Genomic DNA, 18,408 nt, shown 5'->3' with positions numbered 1-18,408 from the left:
CCCAAGTAGCTGGGACTACAGGCGCCTGCCACCACGCCCGGCTAATTTTTTGTATTTTTAGTAGAGACGGGGTTTCACTGTTTCAGCCAGGATGGTCTCGATCTCCTGAACTCGTGATCCGCCCGCCTCGGCCTCCCAAAGTGCTGGGATTACAGGCATGAGCCATCACGCCTGGCCGATTACACCTAAAATATTTTTGAGGGAACCAGGAAATAAATTCAAGTCAGGAAAGACCATGTAACTCTTATTTTAAAATAATAAGGTGAACAGGTTAAATACATTAGGATTCAGTGAATTATTAACCAGTCATTAAAAATAAGAATATCTAAATGTGTTATAAAAAATAAGATACTATCAAAACAAGGTACAGAACAATATATACAGTGTGACCCCTTTTGTGTTATAAAAAGATATCTCCTAGCATGTAAATACTACAAAAGCATATAGAAAATGAAGGATAAGAAAATCAGGTCACTTATTAACGAAAGAGAATTATACTTAAAATGTGAAAAAGTATTCATTATTTATGCCTGTCTTTTGGCTCTTTCCTAGTTCAGGTTATTGTAATGTCATATGCAATGAGAAAGCTTAGGAAAACCCCTAGAAGATCATAACACAGGACAGATGGGCACCAAGCAACTCAGTAGAAGATGCAAAGGGTTAGAGACACCCCCACCCTCCCAGCAGCATTAGGGGTATGGAAATCAGTCCTTGAAGGTGGAGGTTGCTGAGTTTCTGATTTCTGAAAGTCTGGAACCTAGGGGAGTTAATTGATACAGCTAGTAAAGGGCAGTGTGAAGCCAGGTGCAGTGGTTCACACCTGTAATTCCAGTGCTTTGAGAGGCCGAGTCAGTAGGCTCGCTTGTGGCCAGGAGATCTTGTGGCCAAGATCAGCCTGGGCAACATAGTGAGACCCCATCTCTACAAAAATAAAGTGTAAAAATTATCCTGTTGTGGTGGCGTGCTGCTTGGGAGGCTGAGGTGGAAGATGGCTTGAGCTGAGGGTTTAAGGTTAGGGTGACCTGTGATTGTGATTGTACCACTGCACTCCAGCCTGGGCGACAGAGCAAAACCCTGTCTCAAAAAAGACGAAAAGAGCAGTGTGACTGTTTTGATAACCATAAACAATAATTTGGGAAACATGATATGCAGAGACAGTAGTAGTGGACAGAAGCCCTGGAGTGACCCTGTTCTTAGAACAGGAATATCTACATTTCCTTGTGGGTGTTAATGGCCTGGCTGAAGTGTCTGTGTGTTAGAAACAGTTAAAACAAGAGACAGCTGGAGGGACTTGCTGGGGGAAAGCTGGGGCCAGTGACTGCCCAGGGTGCTTCTGGGGAAAATACAGCTATGGTATTTTGCATGTTACCATAATTGCTTTCTGAGAATATGTGTTTGCCTTTTTGCAAGGTTGGCTTATTTGGACGTCTAGGCAGTTTTCCAGTTAGAGGGACACCGATGGCCACTCGACTGTTGCTCTGTGAGCATGCCGAAAAGCTGTCAGCCGCCATTGTTCTCAAGAACCACCACTCCCGGCTTTCTGACCTTGTCAACACAGCCATATTGATTGCTTTGAACAAGAGGGAGTATGAAATCCCATCCAACCTGACTCCTGCAGATGTCTTTTTCAGGGAGGTAAGATGAGTCCTCTTTCATGTGGCTTTGTAGAACTGTGCCATTTAGTGATCATGCCCTAGGCAGGAAAGACGGTGAGGACGAGTTAAATCACAAAAGATCTCACTGAAATTTTAAATTGGACTCCAGATTTTCTGGCTAGAGTGTCACTCAGAAGTCTCATTGATCAGTTACCTGTAAAGAAGAGTTTGCAAAGTTGACTAAGAAGTGCTCCCTGTTTACTTTTTTCCCCCAATAACTGTCTCCAAGTACCTATTTGCTTTGCATGCTGATCTTCTTTTTTTTTTTTTTTGAGATGGAGTCTCACTCTGTTGCCCGGGTTCCAGTGATTCTCCTACCTCAGCCTCCCGAGTAGCTGGGATTACAGGTGCTAGCCACCACCCCGGCTAATTTTCATATTTTTAGTAGAGATGGGGTTTGATGTCGAACTCCTGACCTCAGGTGATCCACTCGCCTCAGCCTCCCAAAGTGCTGGGATTACAGGCGTGAGCTACTGCATCCATCCTGATCTTCTCCTTTGTCTCTCTCGATCTACTCTTTTTTCTGGGGGCAGGGGGCACTAAGTCTTGCTCTGTTGCCAGGCTGGAGTGCAACAGTGCAATGTCGGCTCACTGCAACCTCTGCCTCCTGGCTTCAAGCAATTCTCCTGCCTCAGCCTCCCAAGTAGCTGGGACTACAGGCATGTGCCACCATGCCCAGCTAATTTTTGTATTTTTAGTAGAGACCTGGTTTCACCCTTGTTGGCCAGGCAGATCTACTCTTGACTCTGCCACAGCAAGGTGGCCTTCCTGAATGGGCTCCCTTGCCCTCCGGCTTCTGCCAGGTCAGATGAATGTGAGGCCCTGCCATAAGGCCAGAAGTTGGAGTAGTTATTCTGCCAGCTTTCTTCCTTGCCTGTGCGCACTTTACATTGGCTGTGCCCCTCTGTCAGGGACTGTGCCTCCTGTCCAACTGCTTTCTCTGTGTTTCCAGTAGCTGCCCCCTCCTTGTGCCTCTTCAGGCCTGAGGTTGATAATGCCTCATCCTAGGGTGCTGCCCCATCCCTTTTTGGACCCCTTAATCTTGCCCACACCTTTGCAAACAGTACCTTCACTGAACTCCTCAGCTACCTCCTAGGATCCTGTTGCTACACCTTGCTTGTAGAATCAGATTTATTTTCAGAGAAAAAGTAAAGTCTGCTACAAACTTCAAAGACAGAAATGGTTAAGATGCTGGGCAGCCAGTGGCAGCTGGACATTGTGGAAATAGTGACGCAGTCCTCGTGCTTTTGTGAAGCTTCACAGCCTGATGAGGCAGCAAGGCAGACTTCGCTGTCTCCCTTTAAAGGTGTGACATTAGAACTTAGACCTGTTGTCTTAACTGAGACTGCAGAACTATCTGGTTTTAGAAACAGGGCCAGCTCTTCCCTGAGCTCTGTGAAATTTGGAATTCCTTATGCATTTGAGGAACTTCAAACTCTATTTGGTGTCTCAAATTTTGCTTCCTTCCTCCTATAGCCTAGCTGTATTCTAACATGTAGCACACTGTGCCGACAAGTCTCTTTTTCTTAATGTTTGATGTACTGTAACCTAAGTTTGATGTACTATAACCTAAATTCAGTCTTCCTGTTGATTCCATAAATGTGTTTAGTGTGAATTCTTTGCTTTTATGCATTTGGGTTAGTTCCTGGGGAATGGAAGGAAAAGCACTTTGTTATGTTTTGTTTTTAATCTAGACAGTATGCCAGAAATCTGAAAGAAAAACAAATCACCTCAAGTTTCATGATCTAACAAATCAAGTTGTTGTCATTTTTGTGTCCTTTTTGGTCTTTATTCATATATAATTTTATATGATAAGACAATTTTTTAAAATTAATTACAGACTACTTGTAAGAACTGAGCAAGAGCCTGGTTCATTATTCTGCATTTGGATCAAAGGGCAAAGTATAAGTGTCAATTTAGTGTATGTACATGTTTCAGTTAGCTGAATTATTGGAGAAGGGTCTGGAAATTATCAGTTGGATACATATAGAATAATATTTTAGGAATATGATACAGCAAAACTAAAAATGTGATTGGCTCCTCAAAAGAATGTTCCATATGAAAAATGGTAATGTTTAGGACTGTTCCTGTCACTATTTATCTTCATTTCTCATGATGTTCGTTGGTCTTTAGCTTCTCTGGGGTGTAGTTATAAAGGTTTTCTCCCGTGTCATAATGATCATGAAAAGAGAATACAATAGCTATATGCATATAGTAGTTTTTCTTTCTTTTTACCTGTCCTTCCACTTGGGGGTGACAAGTTACCTGTCTAAGGAGTATTTGTGTTTTGGGACGAGCTGGTTAACCAAAATCAATCTCTGATTGGTGGGCCATATAGAACGATATTTTGACTTGGCAGCCCTGATAGAAAGTAAAACAATACAGAGCTGCCTGAGGGTGCGCTCTCCACTTTGACTCTGTCTCCAGTTTGGGAAGGCCTTGTACCTCCCAGGGCTCTGGAAAAGCAGAGCTCACTGCTTAAGGAACAGACTATGTTGACACGGCATATGAGCAATATTTGAAATCACTGAATATATACATGATAAGAGAATTTAACAAGTGTTTTGGCATTTTATGTGCTTTTATGTTATTTTCTGTCTTTTATATTATATATGCTTTCCTTTTTTTTTTTTTTTGAGACTGAGTCTTGCTCTGTCGCCAGGCTGGAGTGCAGTGACACAATCTCTGCTCACCGCAGCCTCGGCCTCCTTGGTTCAAGCAATTCTCCTGCCTCAGCCTCCCAAGTAGCCGGGACTCCAGGTGCACGCCACGACGCCCAGCTAATTTTTGTATTTTTAGTGGAGACAGGGTTTCACCATGTTTTCCAGGATGGTCTTGATCTCTTGACCTTGTGATCCACCCACCTCCAAAGTGCTGGGATTGCAGGCATGAGCCACCGCACCCGGCCATTATATAGGCTTTCATTGTGTTTTTCATGTTAACAATGTAAAATATTCTTACACTTAAGCTTATAAATTAAATGTGCTAAAGATTTCTTGCCTGGGCTGTTAGGATGCCTTTGGCTAACATCAGAAATGCAAAAGGAAGAACAAGGTTTGCAAAAGGGAGGGATTTTGTTTGGGTCATGTTTTATCTGTGCCTATATAACTTGTTCCTTCAGCCAGTTTGTGAGGTCCTTGAGGGCAGCTAATCTGATTTTTCTTTCCTCTTATCTCTGAGTGTCCATTGCTATGCAAACTCTAAATAATGGGGGGAAAGCTTAAGTGCAGACTTGAACTTGAAACAGGAGTTTCAGTGCCTGATGGTATTTTTGCACTGTTATCTCCATGTATTAATTAATGACAAAGGAAGAGTTAGAAGTTATGTATTTAGTTCATTCTCTTATGTTGCTTACTTCTGTTCTACAAATGTTTCTGTTATGTCTGAAGAAGGGGAATTCCTCAAAGAAAGAAATTAGCAAGTTCACTTTTTGAGGTCATTATTTTAGTCTATTAGTTCATTAGTTTGGGGTATTACATTGTAAAGTGATGTCATCTGTAACCTAGTGCTATTTAAAGATGCACTGAGCAGAGTAGCTATAATAAAAAATATCATCGCTTAAAAATCTCAGTAACAATCCAGAATTTGCCTGTTTATAAGACTTATTTGGGCACTCTGACTTTTAAAAGTTAGGAGATGTGACTTTTCTTGATTTTTGAATTTATTTTTACCATCAACTGCCAATAAATTTTCCTCCATCTATAGGTCTGAGGATATGGCTTAATGAGTAAAACTCACTGGGTAGTTGTTACCCATCACCATAATTTTTGTTGTAAGTAGTTTACTTCTGTGTATTCTCTCAGGTATCCCAAGTAGATACCATCTGTGAGTGCTTACTGGAGCATGAGGAGCAAGTCTTGAGGGATGCACCTATGGATTCCATTGAATGGGCTGAAGTGGTGATCAATGTGAACAATATTCTCAAGGTACAAAAATATAGTAAAGGCTTCAGCAAATCAAAGCCCAGGGCATGGATAGACAAGGAACTGGTTTCCATGTTCCTACTCTGTATTGCCGATAATGTATAAGGTTGTAGACATTTGTTAATCCCAAAAAAGTTAGAAAAATGTCATTTTATTATTAATCAGCTAATGAGTATTTTGAATGTTAGCCTGGTGCCTATTAATAAATTTCTATAATCTTGAGTTTCTATTTGGTAGAATAATAAACCTTTCATTTGGGAAGATGTGTTTGTATCTTTGCAATTTTTTAGTTGGTTTTTTTTCTGAGAGAAGGTCTCACTGTCACCCAAGCTGGAGTGCAGTGGCACCATCATAGCTCACTGTAACCTTGAACTCTGGGCTCACGACTTCCTCCTGCCTCAACCTCCAAGAGTGTTGGGATTACAGAACTGAGACACCATGCCTGATTGCAAACGTATTGTTAATGTAACTGTCTAAATATTTCTCATTTCTATTTTTTTAATTACTCAAAACCTTGCTACTTTTACTATTGACTAAAACGTTCCATTTAATTTTAGCTAGTGGACTTGTAGTAATGATTTTCCTACTTTGCCAAATAATTTTCCTACTATTATTTGCCAAAACTGAAGTTAAATTATGGAGTAAAACAAATTTCAAAAGCAGAAAGAACCAAAAAGTAATCATGCAGATCTGTGCTGACTTTTTTCTCTCATTTTCTTTTCTTTTCTTTTTTTTTTTTTTTTTGTGAGACATGGTCTCACTCCATTGCCCAGGCTGGGTTTATAGTGGCTTGATTATAGCTCACTGCAGCCTCCACCTCCTGGGCTCAAGCAGTCCTCCTGCCTCAGTCTCCCAAGTAGCTGGGACGGTAGGTGCACGCCACGATGCCCAGGTAATTTTAAAAATTTTTTGTACAGATGGGGTCTCACTATGTTGTCAGGCTAGGAGCAATCCTCCTACCTCAGCCTCCCAAAGCACTGGGATTACAGGTGTGAGCCAACATTCCTGGCCCCTGAGTATTTTTTCTTACTAATTTACTTTGCTGTCTTAAATTATCTTCAGAAATACTGTGATCCATCACCTTTTGCATGTGATAACACATTAACTTTTTTTCCAGGATATGCTGCAGGCTGCTAGTCATTATCGCCAAAATAGAAACTCTTTGTATAGAAGAGAAGAATCACTAGAAAAAGAACCTGAATATGTTCCATGGACGGGTAATATACTGATTTATTAACAGTTGTTCAAAATATATTTCTAATGACCCATCATTTTTAGAAGTTGTGTTATTCCCCTAGCGTAGGTTTGTAAGTGAAATGAAAAAGTGCCGTCTCCAAAATGAGCAGCTCTTGTCAAAATCACTTTATTCGTCCCTTGCTCTTATTTATCGATCTCTCTATAATTTATGTATTCAACTGGTACTTATGCATTTACTAGGTTTTAGTTCAAATAGTTATTCATAGAAGCAGTCCTGGCCCCGGAGGTATGGACTATATTTTATGTTGATTTAATACAAGAAAGTAAGTGGAGTAGCATTAAAGGAATTTAGAAGGAAGAAGAGTCATGTTTACCTGGCTTTGCTGAGGAAATCTCCTTGGAGAAGATGGGATTCAAGCAGGGCATTGACAGGTATCACCTGAATCCCTGTTCAATGTAATTTTCCAGCAGTGATGAAGAGGCATAATTTTTATGCTATTAGTCTTTCCTTTAGCCATCACTAGATCCCTTACTTTAACCATATTATTTTGTGTAATTTCACAGCAACAAGTGGTCCTGGTGGCATCCGAACGGTAATAATACGCCAGCATGAGATTGTCCTGAAGGTGGCTTATCCACAGGCAGACAGCAACCTCCGAAACATCGTGACCGAGCAGCTGGTAGCCCTGATCGATTGCTTCCTGGATGGTTATGTTTCTCAGCTTAAGTCTGTGGATAAATCCAGTAATCGGGAAAGATATGACAATCTGGAGATGGAATACCTACAGAAAAGATCAGATCTCTTATCTCCTCTTCGTAAGTTCATGATACTTGGCAAGAGTTTTAAATTTGCTGAATGGATGAAAGGGTTGAATAGTTAATTCAGTATATTCAGTGTGGTAGTGTTAATCCAACTGTAATAAAGAACTTAAAGCAAATATGCACAGCTTTCTGTGCTCATTTATTCAACTTTTTTTCCAGTACTATCTAGGTATAAGTACCATAGATGATACTGAAGACAATTAATAAATACATAAACAAACAACATGTGGAGACTACCCTTAAAGAGCTTAGCATCACAGACCTTTACGTGAATAACTGGATTGCAAAGTAGAGCCTGGTGAGGGCTGCTTGAGGGGTACAGATAAGATATTATGGCTGTTTGGCAAAGGACACATTATACTCCAGGCTAGGACTGGGAAGAGTTTGCTTTACTCTTACATGAAGGAAGAGAATAGCGTTTTGGGGAGGCAGTGATGAAACAAGGGTCTGAATTTGCATCTTTTTTTTTTGTTGAGACAGAGCGTCACTCTCTCGCCCAGGCTGTAGTGCAGTGGTATAATCTCAGCTCACTGCAACCTCCATCTCCCGGGTTCAAACAATTCTCCTGCCTCAGCCTCCCAGGTAGCTGGGATTACAGGCGTGTGCCACCACAACTGGCTAATTTTGTATTTTTGGTAGGGATGGGGTTTCACCATATTGGCCTGGCGGGACTCGAACTCCTGACCTCAGGTGATCCACCCGCCTCAGCCTCCCAAAGTGCTGGGATTACAGGTGTGAGCCACCGCACCTGGCCTGAATTTGCATCTTTAAGAAATTGATGTGAATTGTGAAACTAAGTGCCAGTAAGTGGGAAGGTTTCCATTCCATTAATGATTGTTGGTTTATAATAGGAATAAAGATAAAATTTCAAGTAACATTTTTTATTACAGATTTTAAGTTTTGCTAACAGGATTTTTTCCCATCTTTTCTCATTCCCACAGTTTCACTAGGCCAGTACCTGTGGGCTGCTTCTCTAGCAGAGAAATACTGTGACTTTGATATATTGGTACAAATGTGTGAGCAGACTGACAACCAGAGCCGACTCCAGCGCTACATGACCCAGTTTGCTGATCAGGTGATGAGTGTTGGGTGTGTGGCCACTGAGTCCTTTAGTTGCCTTTTCTTGAAATGGCTTTGCCATTTCAAATCTGTAATCAGGGCTTTTGGAATATGATACGATCTTTTTGTAGTTAACTTTGATGAGAAGATACTAATTTGTATGTCGCGTTTCTTTGTAAATTTTGTCCAGTAGCGAGATCACAGTTCACGACAGCCTCAACCTCCTGGGTCCAATCACTTCTCCCACCTCACCCCCTCCCACACCTCCTGCTTTCCAGTAGATGGGACCACAGGAGCTCGCCACCATGCCTGGCTAATTTTGTTCATTTTTCAGTAGAGACAAAGTCTCGCTATGTTGTCCAGGCTGGTCTCAAACTCCTGGGCTCAAGCGATCCTCCTGCTTCAGCCTCCCAAAGTGCTGGGATAACAGGCATGAGCCATCGCCTGACCACACAATTCTTTATATATAAATATTACTGAAAGATTCTTTGACCTTTGGAAAATATAACTTTCATTTCTGTTTATATATTTTCTAGTTATTATAAAAGTACTTAGGTACATGAATATTGGTAAAGTTCTTAAAAATTGTATAGAAGATACTCGGGAGCATAGAAGACTACTTTAAGAGAGCTTAGCTTTACAAATACACCTAACATTCTCATTTTCCTTGAGGGATATTATGCTTCCTGTTTAAAAAACAAAGTTCCCAGCCAGCCTCAGTGGCTCATGCTGTAATCCCAGCACTTTGAGAGGCCAAGGCGGTAGGATCACTTGAGGCCAGGAGTTTGAGGCCAGCCTGGGCAACATAGACCCTGCCTTTACAAAAAAAATTTTTTTAAAAAACATGCCACCACACGCCCATGGCCACACTTATTCAGGAGGCTAAGGTGGCAGGATCGTTTGAGCCCAGGAGGTCAAGGCCAGTGAGCCAAGATTGTGCCACTACACCACAGCTAGGTGACAGAGGAAGACCTATCTTTAAAAAAAAAAAAAATTTCCATTGTGACACTATCTTAAGTGAATTCAAAGTTGTTGCTTGAAGCCAGTCTATTCAGTCAGTTGATTACTATGAAAAGCTTATTTTTTATTACTGTAAAAGTGATATTGTATAAAATTTAGAAAACCACTATAAACACAAAAGATAAAAATCACTCAAAATGCCACCACCCAGAGAGAACCTTTTAAGCATTTGGTTTATATTTTCAGTCTTTCCACTCTATGTATTATAAACAAACATGTTTTGTCAACTGCTTTTTTCACTTGATACATTGCAAACATTTGTTCATGTCATTAAATATTCTACAGCAGCATTTTTAATGGCATTATAGTATTTCATTGACTGGGTATGACTTACTTCATCAAAGATCAGTTGTTGGGCTGGGCAAGGTGGCTCACGCCTGTAATCCCAGCACTTTGGGAGGCCGAGGTGGGCAGATCACCTGAGGTCAGGAGTTCGAGACCAGCCTGGCCAACATGGCAAAACCCCGTCTCTTCTAAAAATACAAAAATTAGCCAGTCATGGTGGCGTGTGCCTGTAATTCCATCTGTTCTGGAGGTTGAGGCAGGAGAATCCCTTGAACCCAAAAGGAGGAGGTTGCAGTGAGCCAAGATCGTGCCACTGCACTCCAGGCTGGGCAACAGAACAAGAATCCGTCTCAAAAAAAAAAAAAAGGTCAGTAGTTGGACATGGCTTATTTAGTATATCAAAACATTGCTAAATAAATATTTTTTGCACTGATCATGATTTTAAAATTATTTTTATGGATTTTCTTTCTCTTTTCATGCATTTTTGCATTTTTTCTTATATTTAACATGTTTAAATGTTATTTTAAAGTCCTTTTGTGCTTACTCTGATCATCTTTGAGTCTGTTTATGTTGCCTGCTTTTATGTTGCTTGAATCATAGTTTTCTGCTTCCTATATCTGGTAATTTTTAAATTGTATTTTAGACATTGTATATTTTTAAAACTCCATAGTATGGAAATTGATGTTATTTGTCCCCTCGTGGATTTTCCTTTTTCTCTGTTAGGCAATTTAGAGGAGAGGAAGATGACTCAGTTCATTAGGAATAGAGGTGGCCCAGGACTCGGTCTCAGCTCTTGTAATATTCATTTCATTTCTGGTGTCAGAAGTCTTTCATGGCAGGATCCCTGCTTTAGGGAAAGTATCTCTTAAACACTGTGAGACTGTAGAACGTCTTGGTCTTCCTCTCCAGCTCAGCCTCCACACCACCCCAACACTCCACAAACAGCCAGTGGGGAAAACTGGCTGGGCATTTGGGCCTCTCTAGATTTTGATGTATCATGCCAGGCCATGTGGCCAGCTGGCGCAGAATTCTGGAATGTTACAGTCTCGGTGCTGTCCCACAGAGCTTTCTGTGATAATGGAGCTGTTGATAATGCGCTGTCCAAATGGGAGCCACTGGCCACATGGGGCTACTGAGCACTTGAAATGTGGCTAATGTACCTAAGGAACTGAATTTTAAATTTCAAGCTAATTTTTTATTTAAGTTAAACAGCTACGTATGGCCAGTTGCTACCATATTGGCCAGCGCACATCTAGATTCTGCCATTAATCTTGTCAGTGATCTTGAGCAAGATGCCCTTTCTGAATCACAATGTACACATCTGTCAAATGAGATGATTGAATTAAGTGATCCTACAATATAGGAAATTATTGTTTAGAACAGGTTTTCTGTTTTGGAGGCCTTTAGAACAAAGTTATGTTTTGTTATCAGAAATGTGTTTTTTTAAACTATTATGAATGAATTCTATGTTCTGTTATTTGTAGAATTTTTCAGACTTTCTCTTCCGTTGGTATCTGGAGAAAGGAAAGCGAGGCAAATTATTATCTCAGCCCATTTCTCAGCATGGACAGTTGGCAAATTTTTTGCAAGCTCATGAACATCTCAGCTGGTTACATGAAATTAATAGCCAAGAATTAGAAAAGGTAAGAAGGATTTTTCTATGGAGCAGATGTGTGCAATTTATTTAGGTAGTTTTAATTAGTTTTGTTTTTAGTAATTAAAATACTGTTTACTGTCATATACCTGAGAAGGGGTTACTATCCAAAATATATAAGGGAGCTGGGCATGGTGGCTTATACCTGTAATCCCAGTACTTTGGGAGGCTGAGGCAGGTGGATCTCTTGAGTGCAGGAGTTCAAGACCAGCCTAGGAAACATAAATAACAAAAACATTAGCCAGGTGTGGTGACACACACCTGTAGTCCCAGCTACTTGAGAGGCTGAGGCAGGAGGATCACTTGAGCTCTGGAGGTTGAGGCTGCAGTGAGCTGAGATTGCACCATTGCACTCCAGCCTAGGCAACAGAGTGAGGCCTTGTCTCAAAATAAGTGAATGAATGAATGGCAAAAGACCTGAATAGACATTTCTCAAAAAAAGACATGCAGATGACCAATAGATGTGTGAAAAAAATGTTCTGCATCACTCATCATTAGGGAAATGCAAATTTATATCACAATGAGACATCACCGTACATTTGTTCGAATGGCTGTTACCAAAAAGGTGAAGGTAACAAGTGCTGGAGAAGACATGGAGAAAAGGGAACCCTGATGCACTCTTGGTGGGGATGTAAGTTAGTACAACCATTATGGGAAACTGTATGGAGGTTCCTGAAAAAGTTAAAAATAGAAATACCATATGATCTGGCAATCCCGCTTGTGAGTATATATCCAGAGGAGTTGAAGTCAGTATGTTGAAAAGGTACCTGCACTCCCATGTTCATTGCAGCATTTTCACAGTAGCCAAGTTATGGAATCCACCTAAGTGTCCATCAATCAGTGTAAATGATAAAGAAGATGTTGTATATAGAATACACAATGCAGTAATAGCCTTAAGAAAGAAGGAAATTCTCTCATTTGCAACAGCATTGATGAAGCTGGAGAACATTACACTAAACCAAATAAGCCAGACACAGACAAATAACTCATATGTGGAATCCAAAACAATTGAACTCATGGAAGCAGAAGAATGGTGGCTGTCAGAAGGGTGAGGGGATGTTATACGCACACACACACAGGTACACACATACACATATACATATATACATACATATAAGGAACTCAGCTCAATTGCAAGAAGACAAATAACCCAATTTAAAAGGGGAGATGGGCCGGAGAAGTTGGTCAAAGGGTACAAGTTTCAGTTAGAAGGAAGAAGATTATTTTTATTTTTGTTTTTTTAGAGACAGGGTCTCACTGTGTTGCCCAGGCTGGTCTTGAATTCCTGGGCTCAAGCAATCCACCCACATCAGCCTCCCAACGTTCTGGGATTACGGGCATGAGCCACTGCACCCAGCCAGGAACATTTTTTATATACATTGCACAATATGATGGCTAAAGTTAATAATAGTGTATTGTACATTTTAGAATTTCCAAGAGAACAAATTTGAAATGTTCTCACCACAGTGATAGGTATTTGAGGTGATGGGCATGTTAATTAGCTTGATTTAATCATTCCACATCACATACATATATTATTACTGTGTATCCATAAATATATACAATTATAATTCATTAGTATACAATAATTTTTTTAAATTTAAAAGCATTTCTTATGGATTATTTAGAATGTGTACTCCTATTTTCCCACATAATTTGCATAAAACATTCTTAATTTGTGATGGTATTGCCATTCTAATATCTCAATAAAAATATGTAGTCCAGGCTGGGTGCCTGTGGCTCATGCCTGTAATCCCAGCTACTCAGGAGCCTGAGGCAGGAGAATCACTTGAACCCGGGAGGCGAAGGTTGAGTGAGCTGAGACTATATCATTGCACTCCAGCCTGGGTGACAAAGTGAGGCTCTCTCAAAAAAAAAAAAAAAAAAATGTAGTCCATCATGATTTGACATCACATTAAAATCACAAAAATTTTAATGATGTGTCTGTAACAGTCATTGGCCTTTTTGCAATGAGTATATTGTTGTAATATTCAAATTATGAGTAAAAACATACAAATTAATTTTAAAATTTGTTCTTGACAGGATGTTCAGGTGAATATGTAAGTTTTAGAGCAAATGTTTTGTGCATGTCTCTTTTCCCAATATTTAGTGAGGATGGTTGATATTTTGCTGTGTAATTACTCTCAATGTTACGTACTGCTCAGTTTTTAGGTTTGCTAACTGTTGACTTCTCATTCATTGATACGGCTTAGGGGAGAAAAACAAGTTTGGGGTTTACTTACCTTTGTTTCAGCTTGAATTGGTACTCAGTATCTTACGATGGTTTGCATATTTTATTGTAGGCTCATGCAACACTTCTGGGTTTGGCAAATATGGAAACTCGTTACTTTGCAAAGAAGAAAACCCTTCTTGGCTTGAGTAAATTGGCTGCATTAGCTTCAGACTTTTCAGAGGATATGCTACAAGAAAAAATTGAAGGTGAAAGAATTTGAGCAAAAGGATTTACAAATTGGTCATGCCATCAATTAACTCATGATGTGTTCCTGTCATCAGTTAGCAGGATCTATCTCTTAGAAACAGGACCTGTCTCTAAGAGGAATGCATTTAGTTAATGTCCATGTGTAGTTACTCAATTATATACTTGGAATTTTTTTAGAGAAAAGTAGTTTGTATTTTAAATAAGAATTCCTAAAGAATAGACTCAAATGATTTTGATTGGAGAGGTCTGATTATGTACCTTTAGTGATAAATATTCCAAGGGCAAAAAGAACTACAAAGCAATCTTGACCTTTACACAGTGGGTTTGTTGTAGGTAGTGTGGTATAGGTGCAATAATTCTGAACTATTTTGTGTATATTGTAGATGAAAACGATTACATATAGTACAGTTGGCCCTTCATATTCTTGGATTCCACATCTGCAGATTCGACCAAACATCAAAAATATTTGGGGAAAAAAGAATTAAAAATATTCAACAACAATTAAAATTACAACAAGAGAATTAACAAAAAAATTAAAACAACAAAAATAATGCAAAATTAAAACAAAATAATGCAAATTTTAAAAAACCAATACAGTATAACAGCTATTTACTTAGCATTTACGTTGTATGAGGTATTATAATCTAGAGGTGATTTAAGGTATATGGGAGGATGTATGTGGGTTATGTGCAAGTAACTACCGTTTTTATATAAGGGAGTTGAGCTTTTTGGTATTCCTATGGGTCCTAGAACCAGTTGTCAGCAGATACTGAGGCATGATGCTATTATTTTTTAGAACCAAGGAGAGAGGAGTACAAATATAGAAAGACAGTGAAGAAAAACTCTGTATTATTGAATTTGAATTGGAAATACCAGATAGAATCTGATTTTTAAAAACAATATATTTTCTTGCTTGAGGTGATGGGTATGCTAATTACCCTGTGATCATTACACAACATATACATGTATTGAAGCATCACATTGTACCCCATAAATATGTATAATTATTATGCGTCAATTAAAAAAATACATCAGCTGGGTTTGGTGGCTCACGCCTGTAATCCCAGCACTTTGGGAGGCTGACGTGGGAGGATTGCTTGAGCCCAGGAGATTGTGCCAGCCTAGGCAACTTAGTAACAACCTGTCTCTACAAAAAATTTAAAACTTAGCCAGGTGTGGTGGTGTGCGCCTGTAGTCCCAGCTACTGGGGAGGCTGAGGTGAGAGGATCACTTGAGCCCAGGAGGTTGAGGTGGCAGTGAGATGTGATTGTGCCACTGCCCTCCAGCTGGGGCAACAGAGCAAAACTCTGCCTCAGAAAAAAAAAAAAAAAGTCTCTCTCTATATATATGTAGATAGATAGATATACATAATAAAATGTGTGTGTGTATATATAAAATTGTGTGTATATATATATACACAATACACATATATATACATTTTATCTATACACACACACACATACGTATTTCTTGTCTCTGCAGTGACACCCCAGTAGCATGAGTATACCTAGTTCCATATGTTGGTTTCTGACTACCGTTTTCCAGTAAAAGAAGTGAGGGCTTATTGAAGAAATCTTGGAGAGTCTTATTGGGCCAGAAAGCAAGGTTAATGTAGAGATACTAAAATAATACAAGAGCCTTGAACAGCTCCCACTGTTCAAGTTTGGGGACTATTTGAACATCAAAAGATTGGTAGTAAAGGGTATATTCCACAGTTTATAAGACAAAAAAATTCATGAGTCTACAGTGATTTTCAAAAAGGGAGAGGGTCAGTGAAATGCTTCTTTACAGGAGAATGCCAACTAATAAATGTGAAAACAATGGCAGAAGTCACTATTACAACCACGGTGAATAACTGGTCACCAGAGGATGCTGAGACCATTGAGTTTAGGGGCTAGGGGAACAGGATATTCCCGTGGTTTTGGAGTATCAGTAGACAAATCTAATAGACCCTGTCATCAACCACAAAACAAACCACATTGTGTACCACTCCTGAAGCAATGTACTACCATCACGTGTGTCCTGTTCTTGCCAAAATGTTCACCCTTATTCTAATTACAAGAGAACAATCAGACATAACCTGCTGGTGGGACATTGTATAATACAGTTGCCCTAGACTCTTCAAAAACTTTACCAACATGAAAGACAAAAGACAGGCTGTTTTAGATGAAAGGAACCTAAGAGCCATGACACAGAAGCAAATGCAGAGCGAGATTCTTGATCCTGAATCACCCTCAAAATAACCGTAACAGTTATGGTGAATGTTTTGGAAACAAGTGGGAGAAAGTTTGAACATACTTAGTATTAGATGATATAACTGTATTGATGTTAAATTATATAAGCCTGATAATCGTATTGTGGTTGAATGTCCTTGTTTTTAGGAGATACATGCTGAGTATTTAGAAATGAAATGTCATGATGTCTGCAACCTTCATATGCTGAAAAAAAATTACCTATATACATAGAGAAAGCAAAAGGGACAGAGTGTTAGCAACAGATGACTCTAGCTGGAGGATATAACGTGCACATTGGCATTTTAAAATTTTTTCTGTAGATTTGGACTTTTTCTGTTTTTTATTTTTATTTATTTATTTTCTCTGAGACAGGGTCTCACTCTGTTGCCCAGGCTGGAGCACAGTGGCACAATCATGGCTCACTGCAGCCTCGGACTCCTAGACTCAGGTGATGCTCTTGCTTCAGCCTCCCCAGTAGCTGGGACTACAGGTGCATGCTCCCATGCCCGGCTAATTTTTGTATTTTTTTGTAGAGATGGGGTTTCACCATGTGTACCCAGGCTGGTCTCAAAACTTCTGGGCTCAAGCAGTGTGCCCACCTCGGCCTCCAAAGTGCTGGGATTATAGACATGAGCCACCACACCCAGCCTGGAATTTTTCAAAATAAAAATTGGAGCGGGGAATCTCAGCTATGTGGTTTGGATCAAGTATATGCAGATATGGATATCTGGTTATGTGGCTTATCCACAGAGTCCAGCCTAAGATCTGGGTTTAAATTATACTGCTGTCATTTTTTTCCTTTTGAGGGAGTGGATATAGTAGAAAGAATTGGGATTTCAATATTTTCTCCAGAACTTACTAGCTTTGTGACCTTGGATAGTTAATTTATGCTCCTTCGCCTCAGTTTGTTCATCTATAACAAGGGTAGTTGTAAGGATTGAGGACACTGTCTTGGGAAAAATGGCTTGCATATATTAAGTACTCAATAAATTATAGGTATTAGCCCCTTTTATTAAAATTATTTTTTACTGTTTGGGATAATCTTCCTTCAATCTTTTTATTTTTTGCACTAGTAGCGCCTGTTCTAAAAAAAGTGTGTTTATATTCTATAGGACTGGCTGATAGTCTAAGAGGGGAAGCCATATTTTAGCCTGGCCACCAGAGGTAGATCATGTTAATCAAAGCATTTTAACCAAGGCTTTCCTGTTTCTTCTTTCTCCCTGCTTTGCATTTGATCACTTCTTAGCTTTTATTTCTTAACGCGATGGGAACATTTGCAGGTCTCAGTGATTCTACAGACTGTTAGCACAATGTGTCTAATCGGAGGGGATAGACTTTTTAAAAATAACTCTTCTGGTAGTTAAATAATTCCTCATGGAAAATGTGTAAATTATAGAAAAAATTCAATAGGAAAAATAAGTTGTCTGTAGTCCTACCTCCCCGGAGATAGCCACTGGTACTGTTTTGTGGGTTTCCTCCCAGTCTGATTTTCTAGGTACAGAAATGGACAAAAGTGTTCCATTTAATTTTTCCAAAACCAGGATCACGGGGAATGCTGCCAGTATTTGAGCGAAAGTATCTGTGTTTTGGTCACTGTTTTGCTGTGAATGCTGTGTTTATGAGGCTGCCTAGCAGTTTTCACCCTTTCCTGCAACTCAGCACATTCCCTGGGGCGGAGTCAGGTCATGGGCTGCAACCTGGAGAGTTTATGGCAAACAGAAGCCCCTGTTACCTCATCCAATGGAGATAACCCTTGCTGCCTAGGAGATGTGCTGTATATTCTTCCAGGTCTTGTTTTTCTTGATAGACTCATGGTAGCTTTTACATCATTTCCATTTGCGAATGAAACTCAGTTGACCCTTGAACAACATGAGCTTGAACTGCATGGGTCCACTTACATGCAGATTATTTTCAATCAATATATTTCGGAGATTTTCAACAACATGAAAACACTCATAGATATACACCATGTATAACTGTGTAGCCTAGATATACCAAAAAAAAATTAAGAAAAAGACAGGTTATGAATACATAAAACATATGTAGTCTATTTTATCATTTACTACCATAGAACATACACAGGTCTGTTATAAAAAGTTAAAATTTATCAACACACAAA

At 39.6% G+C, this 18,408-nt stretch overlaps 1 protein-coding gene across 2 annotated transcripts in view; it reads left to right on the top strand.

Annotated features, from left to right (window-relative positions):
* Positions 1 to 18,408, top strand: part of NUP133 (nucleoporin 133) — a 68,083-nt gene that overhangs the window by 36,127 nt on the left and 13,548 nt on the right. Inside the window, exons 15-21 of one of the 2 annotated variants that reach the window (NM_018230.3) lie at positions 1,411 to 1,635; positions 5,459 to 5,581; positions 6,696 to 6,795; positions 7,340 to 7,591; positions 8,539 to 8,672; positions 11,446 to 11,604; positions 13,919 to 14,054. In NM_018230.3, coding sequence (NP_060700.2) covers positions 1,411 to 1,635; positions 5,459 to 5,581; positions 6,696 to 6,795; positions 7,340 to 7,591; positions 8,539 to 8,672; positions 11,446 to 11,604; positions 13,919 to 14,054 — 1,129 coding nt within the window. Of the gene's footprint in view, positions 1 to 1,410; positions 1,636 to 5,458; positions 5,582 to 6,695; positions 6,796 to 7,339; positions 7,592 to 8,538; positions 8,673 to 11,445; positions 11,605 to 13,918; positions 14,055 to 18,408 lie in introns of those variants that run through there. The other variant, XM_047424979.1, reaches the window with a different exon arrangement.

Source organism: Homo sapiens, chromosome 1 (assembly GCF_000001405.40).
Source record: "Homo sapiens chromosome 1, GRCh38.p14 Primary Assembly".
In the NCBI taxonomy this organism is placed as follows: Eukaryota; Metazoa; Chordata; class Mammalia; order Primates; family Hominidae; genus Homo; species Homo sapiens.
The sequence above is the reverse complement of the archived record's forward strand: the minus strand, read 5'-3'. Positions and strand labels throughout refer to the sequence as shown.